Source organism: Homo sapiens, chromosome 8 (genome assembly GCF_000001405.40).
Source record: "Homo sapiens chromosome 8, GRCh38.p14 Primary Assembly".
Lineage (NCBI taxonomy): Eukaryota > Metazoa > Chordata > Mammalia > Primates > Hominidae > Homo > Homo sapiens.
Window position 1 is genome coordinate 25,237,890 of NC_000008.11, and position 13,207 is coordinate 25,251,096.

The 13,207-nt window shown below is 44.7% G+C and overlaps 1 protein-coding gene across 2 annotated transcripts in view; it reads left to right on the forward strand.

Annotated features, from left to right (window-relative positions):
- DOCK5 (dedicator of cytokinesis 5) overlaps nucleotides 1-13,207 on the forward strand; it is a 231,023-nt gene that overhangs the window by 53,201 nt on the left and 164,615 nt on the right. For both annotated transcript variants that reach the window (NM_024940.8, NM_001322810.2), the window contains exon 2: nucleotides 5,785-5,868. In NM_024940.8, coding sequence (NP_079216.4) covers nucleotides 5,785-5,868 — 84 coding nt within the window. The remainder of the gene's footprint in view (nucleotides 1-5,784; nucleotides 5,869-13,207) is intronic.

Consider the following 13,207-nt stretch of genomic DNA (forward strand, 5'->3'; position numbering starts at 1 on the left):
TAGGCTTAGTAGCTCATTCAAGGTCATGCATTGTGTAAGTGGTAAAGTTGAGTCTTGAATCCGTTTTGCTTACCCTGAGGTTTTTCTTGGTTTCCCATTTCTCTAGCTTTCTCTATAACAGTTATTCATGTTCTAGAAAGAAACTATGGGCCCACTAAGTGCATTAGCTGTACTCTCATTCTTGAAATAGCATCAGACTAGCGGACAATGTGATCACCAGTCACTGATGTGTGTGATGAGAAAGCTTGGTTTGGGAAGTAGGATGGTCATTTAAAGAGAGAAATCTAGGCTCTTCTCTTTGTTTCTGGGCTATTCCAGGGCATATCTTCACCACTATGGACTGGCTTGGTCAAATGTGATGAATAGACCAGCTTTATAACAGCTTTGCTGCTTGCAAGCTGGGTTTAACCCTTCTGAGTCTCAGCTTCCGCATTAAATAATGTGACACCTGGCATCCACTGTATACAATTACTAAGATATATATGAAAGTAAACTATGAAATACGCTGGAAATGTGAGGTATATTATGATATGGAGGGCATACTACCAAACCCAAGAGTTAGAATGAATAGATGACGGCGGTGATTGGAAATCTTGTTTGTGCTTTTGCCCAGAGACATGAAACAGATTGTACAAACATCCTCTAAGCGGTGACTTTTCATTCCAGTGAAAGGCATTCTTGAAGGGATGTGCTTCTAACATGAATCTCTTTGAAAGCTTAGGTTGGAGAGGCAGATTCTCTCTTGTGATAAACCAAATGGATGGAGAAGTGATTTTAGTAACCCTTTCTTGAGTGATGGGAAACCACAGCCTCTGCTCTGGAGGAAAGCAGAAGTGTGTTTGAGTTTGGGGAAGAAGTGGTGAATAACTGAATTTTTTGATGGATTTTATAGAAGAGATAAAAATATGTGTTTTTAAAATATATTCTTTTCTGACATCGTTATTATACCTTGAGTACTTTCTTTGGGACTAAGCCTGTGCCTTGTAATGAGAAAGACACAAAAGTAATGTGTAACGAGGGCCCCAATCATAGGGATTTCCTTCTAATTGATGGCAGACAATTACACAAGATTGTCTATGATTAAAAACCCAAACTGCGCTGGAAGGGAAAATTGTTGTGGAATGTCAGAGAAGAAAGAGATCCACGCAGGTAATCGGGAGCTAGTAGCCATTTGTTGAATTGCATTGTGGATGTGAGATTTGGATTGTTACAAATCAAGACAGGCCCTTGTTCTAGGCAGAAACAAACCATGGACTGAGCTCAGAATTTAGGGGAGAACATAGGAGTCTTCACTGGAGAGTAGGCTGGAATTTCGCAGATAGTGGAGACAAAGACAGATAATTACGGGCTGGGACAATTTTGGAGGTATTTTGGGTCAGGCTTAGAGATCTAGGTTTTAAGCAAACCGGTCTTTGGTGTGTGCGTGTATATGTGTGTGTGTGTGTGTGTGTATGTGTGTGTGTGTGTGTGTGTGTGTGTGTTTCCAGCAGTCCTTGGTAGGTGTTTGTGTTTGGAGCTTCCAGTGCAAGGTGCTGCCTTTGAGAGCTTCTGCTTACTTTTCCAATGACCGGAACCAGGAAGAGGTGAAGCTTGGTCATTACACAATGCATTGTGACTCAGTGACCTCACTACTTCCTGTTTTCATTTGAGAAGGGGGCCAATGGAAGGGACCATTTCAGTACAAGGCCATGAATAGGGAGTAGGAGATGTCAAGGATATGAGGTCTGCCAAACTAGCAGGCAGAGCATTTGCGTAAACCAGCAGACGAATGAAGGAGTTGAACTCCACTGGAATAGCAGCGGTGGCCCAGTTACCCATGAGAAAGTCTAGGAATTGGGAATTACTCCTACTTCTGAATCGCGTGCGATTTCTCCTAACCTATGTCACCAGCCAATCCTGGTTGTAAATTCATAGCCTAGTCCATAAGCTCAATAGTAAAATAAATTCCAACATACTTTGTCCAGGCTTCTGTGCCAGGAGTGCAGGAGAGCACTACTTGGATGACTTCCTTTATCAAGGAGAGGCCACTGGAAAACAGGTGGCTGGACGTGTGCTCCTTCCTGCTCACTGAGAGGTTGACTGTGATGTAAGCCAAGCTGCAGGTGCAGGGTGCACTGCAGGCCCAGGGAAGAGCTGGGAAGAGCCGGGAAGACCCACCACTGGCAATGTCAAGGACGCCTTTCTTCCCTGTGGGATATACTGATGGACTGAGTGACTATCCATTCATCAGTGTGGATGGCCACTCATCAGGCCTGCAGAGATGGGAGCCTTATGGGTTCCTTGGATTGTCAAGTCCATGGCTAGAGCTGAATCTCTAAGGGAGTTCTTTTTTCCTGGAAAGATGTAGTTCCCTCATCAGTAGAGTGAGGGTAAGAAGTAAATCTACTTAAAAAAAAAAAAAAACCAGCTTCCGTCAAGTGTAATTTATATACCATAAAATCCACCCGTTTTAAGCATATAATTCACTGATTTTTAGTAAATTTACAGAGTTGTGTAAATATCACCGCAACCCAGTTTTAGGATGTTTTCATCTCCCCAAGAAGCTCCTTAGGGCCTTTTGTGGTCAATCACCATTCCCTCCTCACAGCCCCAGGCAACCAATAATCTCCTATATTGCCTTTGATAGATTTGCTAAATTCTGGACATTTTGAATAAATGGTGTCATAAACTATGTGGTCTTTTGCATCTGGCTTCTTTCCTTTAGTGTAATGTTTTGAGGTTCATTCACGTTGCAGTATGTGTCTGTATTCCATTTCTTTTCATTGCTGCATAGTATTCCATTGCATGGATATACCATACTTTGTGTATCCTTTCATCAGTTAATAAATTATTTCCATTTTGGGGGCTATTGTGAATAATGCTACTGTAGTGGATTTCAGTGGCTGCTGTGACAAATTATACACTTGATGTCTCAAGACAGTGGGGGTTTATTCTCTCACAGTTCTGGAGATGGGAGTTAGGAAGTCAAGGTGCAAACAGGGCTGTGCTCCCTCCGGAGGCCCTCGGGGAGGTTCTGTTCCTTGCTTCTTCCAGCTTCTGGTGGATACTGGCCTTCTCTGACTTGCAGTCACATCAGTTCAATCTCAGCCTCCATCTGCATGTCGCCTTCTCTCAGGTGTGTCTCTCAGCTCTCTCTCTTTCTCTCTTATAAAGATATATGCGATTGCATTTAAGGCCACCCTGATAATTCAGGGAAGAGAGCTCCTCTCAAAATCCTTATCATTGGTCATTAGAAAAATGCAAATAAAAACTGCAATGAGATACCATCTCAAGCCAGTTAGAATGGCGATCGTTAAAAGTCAGGAGGCTGGGCACGGTGGCTCACGCCTGTAATCCCAGCACTTTGGGAGGCTGAGGCGGGTGGATCACGAGGTTAGGAGATCGAGACCATCCTGGCTAACATGGTGAAACCCCATCTCTACTAAAAACACAAAAAAAATTAGCTGGGCTTGGTGGCGGGCACCTGTAGTCCCAGCTACTGGGGAGGCTGAGGCAGGAGAATGGTGTGAACTCAGGAGGTGGAGGTTGCAGTGAGCCAAGATCACTCCACTGCACTCCAGCCTGGGCAACAGAGCAAGACTCCGTCTCAAAAAAAAAAAAAGTCAGGAAACAACAGATGCTGGAGAGGACATGGAGAAAGAGGAACACTTTTACACTGTTTTTGGGACTGTAAACTAGTTCAATCATTGTGGAAAACAGTGTGGTGATTCCTCAAGGATCTAGAACCACAAATACCATTTGATCCAGTAATCCCATTACTGGGTATATACCCAAAGGATTATAAAACATGCTACTATAAAGACACATGCACATGTATGTTTATTGTGGCACTATTCACAATAGCAGAGACTTGGAACCAACCCAACTACCCATCAATGATAGACTGGATGAAGAAAATGTGGCATATATACACCGTGGAATACTATGCAACCATAAAAAAAGGATGAGTTCATGTCCTTTGCAGGGACATGGGTGAAGCTGGAAACCATCATTCTCAGCAAAGTAACACAGGAACAGAAAACCAAACACCACATGTTCTCACTCATAAGTGGGAGTTGAACAATGAGAACACAAGGACACAGGGAGGGGAACATCACACACTGGGGCCTTTTGGGGGGTGGGGGTCTAGGGGAGGGATAGTATTAGAAGAAATACCTAATGTAGATGACGGGTTGATGGGTTCAGCAAACCACCATGGCACGTGTATACCTATGTAACAAACCTGCATGTTCTGCACATATATCCCAGAGCTTAAAGAATAATTAAAAAAAAAACCTTAACTTAATCAACTCTTTTGCCTTACAGGGTAAGATACACAGGTTCCAGGGATTTGATGTGGATTTCTTTTGGCCGGGGGGCACCTTTACAGCCCACCACTGCAGCTCTGAACATTCACATAAGGTTCTTATGTAGACACATGGCTTCATTTCTCTTTGTAGGTACCTAGGAATGGATTGCTAGGACCTATGGTAAATTTATGTTTAACTTTTTGAGAAGTTCCCCAACTGTTTTCAGAAGGGGCTGTATCATGTTACATTCCTACCAGCAATGCGGGAGAGTTCTAGTTTCTCCACATTCTTGCCATTTGTCTGCCTTTTCTTTTTTCTTTATCATAGCCATTCTAGTGGGTGTGGAGTGGTATCTCACTGTAGTTTTAATTTGTATTTTCCCATGACTAATAGTGTCGAACATCTCTTCGTGTGCCTGTTAGCTATTCATACATAATTTTTGGCAAAATATCTATTCAAAGCTCTGGCTTGTCTTAAAATTGGGTTGTCTTCTTTTTTTGAGTTATGAGTTAGTCTATCATTTTTCACAACCCGGCCCAGCCATTGCCAGCCCTAAAGACTGTGGTGGCTGAGGTCACCTTGATTAGGAAGTGCTGGGGTAACCCAGTTGCCCAGGGTGCCCTGGGCTGGGGCCAGGCACCATCGTTGCACCGTGCCCTGTGTCAGTTTGTCACTGGAGGGTGGATGGGCCTCACAGGTGGCCTTTTGCCATCAGATACTGTGCCATGGAAGCCAGGACATGGCTCGCCTGTGTACTAGAGATCATCAGTTCCGTGTTCTTGCAGGCTGGCTGTTGTCTGATGAACAAGGGCACTGACTAACAAAATCCCACAATATATTTTCATTGTAACTGGATTGTTTCTTTCCTAACACTTATCACAACTTTAACTAGTTATTTCTGTGATTATATATTTGATATCTTTCTTCCTTCCACTCAACTGTTAAGTTCCCTGGGGACAGGGGCCATGTCCATGTGATTTGCCCCTCTATCACTAGTCTCTAACACAGTTCGTGATGTGTAGCAGGCAACTGATCCATATTTGTTGGATGGGGGAAATGAGGATCCATTTCTGTGCTTTACAGTGGGCAATTCACATGAAATTATTAAATAGAGAGTTGTTTGTTGACCGAATTGTTCACTGTGACATGCATTCTTTTTTTTTTTTTTTTGAGACGGAGTCTCATTTTATCACCCAGGCTGGTGTGCAGTGGCGTGATCTCGGCTCACTGCAATCTCTGCTGCCCGGGTTCAAGCAGTTCTCCTGCCTCAGCCTCCCAAGTAGCTGAGATTACATGCGCCTGCCACTACGCCCAGCTGATTTTTGTATTTTTAGTAGAGATGGGGTTTCACCATCTTGGCCAGGCTGGTCTTGAACTCCTGACCTCATGATCCACCCACCTCACCCTCTCAAAGTGCTGAGATTATAGGCGTGAGCCACCGTGCCCAGCCAAGTGACATGCATTCTAATTTCCCTTTTTTATTTCTCATTTCCAGCGATCTATAACTACAATGCTTCTCAAGATGTGGAGCTCTCCTTGCAGATCGGTGACACAGTTCACATCCTGGAGATGTACGAGGGTAAGTCTGGCTGGCCTTCTGCCAGATGAGGGCAAGGGAAAAACAGTGTAAGTTACTTATTAAAAAGGCACTTAGAGTAAACATCAACATGCTTGACTTCCTGAAACAGTGCTAGTAAAAATTCAGGAAGTACTTGGGTGACACAATTTTGAACAGAGTGTGATTTCAAAACAGCCAGCTGAGTACATGAGCACAAACTTGCACAGACACCAGGGTGAAAGCTCATGCATATGTGAAGGGTGCTGGTGTGGCCAGGCCACTTGGGCACAGAAGGATCAGTGACAGAGCTGGCTCGCGAGGAGACACTTGGGATGTTGGGCTGGCAGTAGCTCAAAGGAAGCACTGCTGATTAAGGGTCTCTTTCTGTTCAGCACTAAATGTTCCCAGGTTGGGGGAGAAATGAGGGAGAGTCTTTCTGGTGTTGCTGAGATTCTTTTAGAAAATTAGGTCATGACTGCAGCAGGTCCAGAAAGCCTGATTGTATATCTCCTTCAACTAGGTCAGGCGAGGGCCGTGGTTCCATTAACCTGTTAGTGGGCTGCGGGGCAGTACTTAGGACTGCCTATTTGTCTGCCAAGCATTGGTCATGTCTGTACCCACTCCACTGCAGGCTTCCAACTTCAGCTCAGGTTCTCTAAATCCTAGAAGAAGTCTTCCTCCATATATCCACATTTTTAATCCAAACCTCTGGAGCACAACAAAAGCATAGCCAGGCCACTGAAGTTGAGGACCAAACCAAGAACTATGTTTAGGGTCCAGTTATTCTCTCAGAAGGTTAGGGTACAAATGAGGTGGAAATTAGGCAGATTTGACAGGGACCGTGCATTTTCCGGGTCTAGCCCCCATGTAAACCCTTGTGATGGTGAAACGGCAGAGATGGTCCGCGAGGACCCCGTGCAGGTTCCTAGGGTGGGATGGGATGACACAGGATGAGAAAGAAGAGATGGGAAGGCAGGAGGAAAGGAAGCAGGATTTGGCCACAGAACAGCTAAATTATCTGCATGGTTGCATGGAAGACTCTGCTATTACTGCAGCCTCCCTTTAGTTTTTGGCAGAGGGCTGGGGTTTCACATTATCCTTTTCCCTTCCACACAACTCAATGTAATCATGTAGCTCCCAGGGGCAGAGAGAAGACAGAGAGGGCTGTGTGAACTCTTCCCTTTTTCTTTCTACTGCTTATTCTCACCATCTCAGGCCCAGCCAAAGCATCAATTCAAAGTCTCCAAGACACTAGGGCAGTCGCCTTATCTTTTCCAGAATCTTTTGCTTATGGAAACCACAGCTCTTCCAATCTTTTTATTTATTTATTTATTTTTTGAGACGGAGTCTCGCTCTGTCGCCCAGGCTGGAGTGCAGTGACACGATCTCAGCTCACTGCAAGCTCCACCTTCCGGGTTCATGCCATTCTCCTGCCTCAGCCTCCCAAGTAGCTGGGACTACAGGTGCCCACCACCACACCCAGCTAATTTTTTATATTTTTAGTAGAGACGGAGTTTCACCATGTTAGCCAGGATGGTCTCGATCTCCTGACCTCGTGATCCGCCTGCCTTGGCTTCCCAAAGTGCTGGGATTACAGGTGTGAGTCACTGCGCCCGGCCTACAGCTCTTCCAGTCTTATCAGCTCATACCTCTTTTGTCAGGAGGCCAGGTTAATTCACTTTGTCTAGCCTCAATGGATGCATATTTTCCTATTGTGCAGGTAAAAAGCATAAGTTCAATTTTTCTAACTCTTCCATGTGGGCTTGGAAAGAATGTATATTTAAGGATTATTGGGTGCAAAGTTCTTTTTTTTTTTTTTTTGAGATGGAGTCTCATTCTGTCGTCCAGGCTGGAGTGCAGTGGCACAATCTGAGCTCACTGCAACCTCCACGTCCTGGGTTCAAGCGATTCTCATGCCTCAGCCTCCTGAGTAGCTGAGATTACAGGCATATGTCATCACACCTCGCTAATTTTTGTATTGTTAGTAGAGACGGGGTTTCATCATGTTGGCCAGCCTGGTCTTGAACTCCTGAGCTCAGGTGATAGCCCCATCTTGGCCTCCCCAAGTACTGGAATTACAGGTGTGAGCCACCATGCCTGGTGGCAAAGTTCTATATATGGTAATTAGGTTCTAATTTCTGAGTCATTTTTCAGGTTTGCTATATGCTAACTTTTTTTTCCTGCTTTCTCTGTTACTGATAGAACTGTGTTAACTCTTCCACCATGATTGTAGTTTGTGTCTCTTTATGGTGATGTCAGCTGTTTGCTTTATGTATTCTGAGACTTGTTTTTAGGTGCCTGCTAATTTAGAATTGTTGTGTTAAACAGTTCTAACTTTTAATTCCTATTTATTAAACCTTTATCATTGTCTTACTCTGTAGTAACATGCTATGTCTTACTCTGTGTTGTGTAAAATTGCAGCCAACTCACTGGCAAGTCCCAGGGCTTCAATTTTTGTCCTCCTGGCTCCACAAGGCCATCAGAAATGCTGCTCAGCTTCTCAGCCACTCAGGAATCCTTTCTTTTTGTTGTTGTTGTTGTTTTTTGTATTTTTTGGAGACAGAGTCTTGCTCTGTCGCCCAGGTGGAGTGCAGTGGCTCAATCTTGGCTCACTGTGATCTCCGTCTCCCGAGTTCAAGCGAGTCTCCTACCTCAGCCTCCTGAGTAGTTGGGATTACAGACACCCGCCGCCATGCCTGGCTAATTTTTGTATTTTTAGTAGAGACAGGGTTTCCCCATGTTGGCCAGGCTGGTCTCGTGGCCAACTCCTGACCTCAGGTGATCCGCCCACCTTGGCCTCCCAGTGTTGGGATTACAGGTGTAAGCCACCGCACCTGGTCAGGAATTCTTTCTTAAATCAGCAGATGGATGCCCCAAGCGGAAAGCAGCCCCAGATGCTGAGCTGGTCTTTTTAGGTTTTGGTCTCTTTCAGATTTTGACCTGGTAATTCTTCACTGCCATGTTAGTTTGTGTGTGTGTGTGTGTGTGTGTGTGTGTGTGTGTGTGTGTGTGTGTGTGTGGCGGGGGCGGGGTGGGGCAGTGTATATGTTTGTGTGTGTTGTTTTGTCAAGCTTTTCTAATTGTCCTACAGAGTGTGGGAGGGAAGAATGGAGACTTGGTCTGAAATAAAGTAGGTAATGTCTTTTGTTTTTTGTTTTTTTTTTCTTTGAGACAGGGCCTTGCTCTGTCACCCTAGCTGGAGTACAGTAGTGTGATCATAACTCACTGCAGCCTTGAGCTCCTGGGCTCAAGCTATCCTCTTGCCTCAGCCTCCCAAGTAGCTGGGATTATAGGCATGTGCCACCACACCCAGCTAATTTATTTATTTATTTTAATGGACACAAGGTCTCACCAAGTTGCTCAGGCTGATCCCAAACTCCTGGCCTCAAATGATCCTCCTGCCTCAGCCTTCCAAAGTGTTGGGATTGTAGGCATAAGCCATAGCACCTGGCCCAGGTGATACCTTTAAAATATTTCTTCAAATTTTTTTTCATTTTTATGTGACCTCAGCGTATTTCTAAGAAATAGTTAATTGAAACACTTTGTCCTGTTAGGGTTCATATCAATAGTAATTTTAAGGATGAGTGTGGTGGCTCACTCCTGTAATCCCAGCACTTTGGTAGGCTGAGATGGGAGGATCCCTTGAGGCCTAGAGTTCAAGACCAGCCTGGGCAACATAGTGAGACCTTGTCTCTACAAAAAATTTAAAACTTAGCCAAGCATGGTGACATGCACCTGTAGTCTCAGCTACTTGGGAGGCTAAGGTGGGAGGATTGCTTGAGCCTGGGAGGCAGAGGCTGCAGTGAGCTGACTACACCACTACACTCCAGCCTGGGCAACAGAGTGAGTCCCTGTCTCAAAAAGAAAAAAAAAAGTAATTTTAAGTGTCTCACTATACTTTACCAAGAGTTCTCCAGTTGGCCTATAAACATTCCTCAAGACAGCATCCCTATGGACCAAGCTAAGGGGGTCACTGAGCTTAGTTGAATATAAATATAATCACAGATACATTCATTTCAAATACCATGCACTTGAGTCCAAACAGTCCAAAACCCACAGTGCTTCTAGTATATTACAGCTCACACTACGATATGCTTGTAGGATGTGCTGGCCCATTTGACAGTCACACAAAAATGGTTAACTTCTTCAGTTATGGTGATCCGGATGCTGTAGTCCTGCCCGCAAGAAACCGCTCTTCTTAACTGCTACCATAACATTTTTGCTGCGTCAGCCGTAGAACTTTTTCATCTCAAAGGACGTCAGTGCCTGTTCTTTAAAAGTAAGCGCATGTCAAGGCGTGAAGGGGAGGGAGGTTGAGAACACTTGAGCCTGCACCGTGAGCTTACTGAGTTCATTAACCACCAAGGGGCAGGTCAGCTTGACAGAGAGATTACTATATTGGATTATATTTTTCATTAGTGTTTATTTTCTGGGATTAATTTTTAAAATCGTGCCTACCTTGCCAGATGTCCCATGATAGGTCCTTGTATCTGCTAAGCACTTAGAGTTCTTGGCTTGATTCTCAAATTCCTTTATTATTTAAGGCAGCTCGAGGCAAGGGCCGGAGTGCTTTGCAAACATGAAACGCGATGGGAATGCTGAGTAATCACTTGTCTTCTACCCCTCTTCTCCTAGTCCCTCTTAACTTTAGAAAAATAAACACAATGAAAACACCGACAGTCCTGCCGGGTGGAACTGAAGGGTGACACTGGCACTGTATTGTGGCCCTGGGATTCGTGTCTTCCAGCTTCCTGTCGGAGCTGACTTTGGGGCGCTCCCTCTGCACTCTGCCCCACCCTGCCCTCGAGATGTCTGCATACCAGATCTGTGTGTGTTTTTCCAGCGTGGACATGAATCCACCCAGACATGAAACATTTTTTCTGCCCACCGCCCGGGACAGAATACTATTTTTGATTCTCCTTTTTCTGTTTCCTGCCGTGTGGTTGGCTGAAAAATTTCAGAAAGTATTGGCTCCTTGAAGGCAAAGCCTGTTCCTCCTTCATCTGCAGAGCCTGTGCCTCCCTAGCTCCTGGTATACGGCAGGTGCTCAGCAACAATCTATTGAATGATGAAGGTAAAATAGGAGACCAAGGCAAGCTGGTGTAGAGAGTAAGGGGGTCAGGGGTCACCTCCACAAAACCCTGGGTATTACAAGGCAGAGGTGCTGTTCCTTCTCTATGAGGGAAATACAGGGGGTGCTAATGTTTTTTGGTCCTCTGCAATTATAGGAGGATTTAGTCATTGCTGAAGTTTTTGTTTTTATTTTATTTATCTTTTTTTTAGAGACAGGGTCTTGCTGTCCCCCAGGCTGGAATGCAGTGGCATAATAACAGCTCACTGTAACCTTGGCCTTTTGGACTCAACGGATGCTCCTGCTTCAGCCTCTTGAGTAGTTGAGACTACTGGTACATGCCACCATGCCTAGCTAATGTTTTTAATTTTTTAGGAGAGGTGAAGCCTTGCTGTGTTGCCCTAGCTGGTCTGGAACTCCCGGCCCTTAGCGATCCTTCCACCTCGGCCTCCCAGAGTATAGGGATTACAGGTGTGAGCCATCGTGCCTGGCCTTGTGGGTTTTTTTGTTTGTTTTTAATAACAGCTTTCTTGAGATATAATTCAAATACCAATCAATTTACTTATTTAAAGTATACAATTCAATGGATATTTACTAATGCAGAGGGTTGGGCAAATATCATCACTATCTACTTTCAGAACACTTTCATCATCCCATAAAGAAGCTCTGTACCCATCGGTAGTCATGCCTCCCCTGGCTCTAGGCAGCTTCAAATTCATTTCATGTAAGTGGAATCACATAATATGTGGTCTTTTGTGACTGGCTGCCTTCATTTGGCATCAGGACTTCATCTCTCTCGCCCTCTCTCTTGCTCTGTTGGTCAGGCTGGAGTGCAGTGGCATGATCACGGCTCACTGCAGCCTTGACCTCCTGGGCTCAAGGAATCCTCCTACTCCAGCCTCCCAGGTAGCTGGGACTATAGGTGCACACCGCTACACCCAGCTAAATTTTTATTCTTTGTAGAGACAGGGTCTCGCTATGTTACTGAGGTTGGTCTTGAAATCCTGGGCTCAGGCAGTTCTCCTGCCTTGGCCTCCCAAGGGCCAAGTGTCCCAGTGTGTTGGGATTATAGGCATGAGCCACTGCACCTGGCCCAACTTCATCTCTTTTCATTGCTGAGTAATATGTATTATGTAGGTACATTATATTTTATTCATTCATCAGTTGGACATTTGGGTCGTTTAGATGTTTCAGCTACTGTGAATAATACTGCTGCAAACATTTGCGTGCAAGTTTTTATGTGGACATATGTTTTCATCTCTCTTGGGTAGGTACCTAGGAGTGGAATTGCTGGGTCATAGGGTAACTCAATGTTTAATATTTTGAGGAACTGCCAGACTGATTGAGCTTTGGCTCCAAAACAGGCGACCAGAGTCCAGATGAACGAGCTTCTATCCATCATCTTTTTTCACTCATTTGACTCTCTGGCCTTGCCCCTGAACTTCATTTGTTGCTAAATGAAGGAAAGAAGCAGAACTGACTGAGAAGCTATCTACTGCTCATCCGTTACAGGTCTCCAGGAATTATTTGTCTTTAGAGACTTTATCAGGAAACAGAATTCCTTAAGGACTGAAGCGAGCGTTCTTGCCTTTCTTCATCTTTGGCACTGGCTTGCCCACAGTCATTTTTGTGTCTTTGCTTCTTTTACTGTGGAATGTATTTGGCAGCGAGGTAGCTGTTTATTACTGTGAACGTTCCTTTCCACCCCAGATCCATGGCAGAAAGTGCACTGACTTCTGGAGATGCCCGGCCGTGAGGTCATTTATTCATTCAACATTATTTGCTGAGCACCAAGTATGTGCCAAGTACATTTATTGAGCATGAGAGATGTTCTGGGTACTCTGTGGTCTCTTAAGTGACAAAATGCAAGTTCCTGCTCTCATAGGGTTTACATTGGAGGGATAGACAAAACCAAGTAAACAAAGTAAGTAAACAAAACAATTCAGATATGTGCTTACAAATGCTATGGGGAGAAGAGGGTGGTATTGCAGAGGCCAGAGGTGGAGGACAGCGATGGAGAGGGAGACGGAAGACTATTGTAGGTTGGTAGTTTTGTCCTTGTCTAGATTGACTGTCCCTGGGCAAGATATTGCAGCTGTCTTTGTGACAAGGACATTTCATCTAAATTGGAGTCACTTTTTGAGTCAAGAGTGATCAAATGTAAGTGCTTTGAAAAGTGCATAGTACCTTGTATGTGTCAGGTTTCAGCATCCTGTTACCATGGAGCTCCCCTCTCCTGTGATTAACGTCACTCCAGTCACAAGTGGTTTTAGGCCTGGAGTCTGAGGT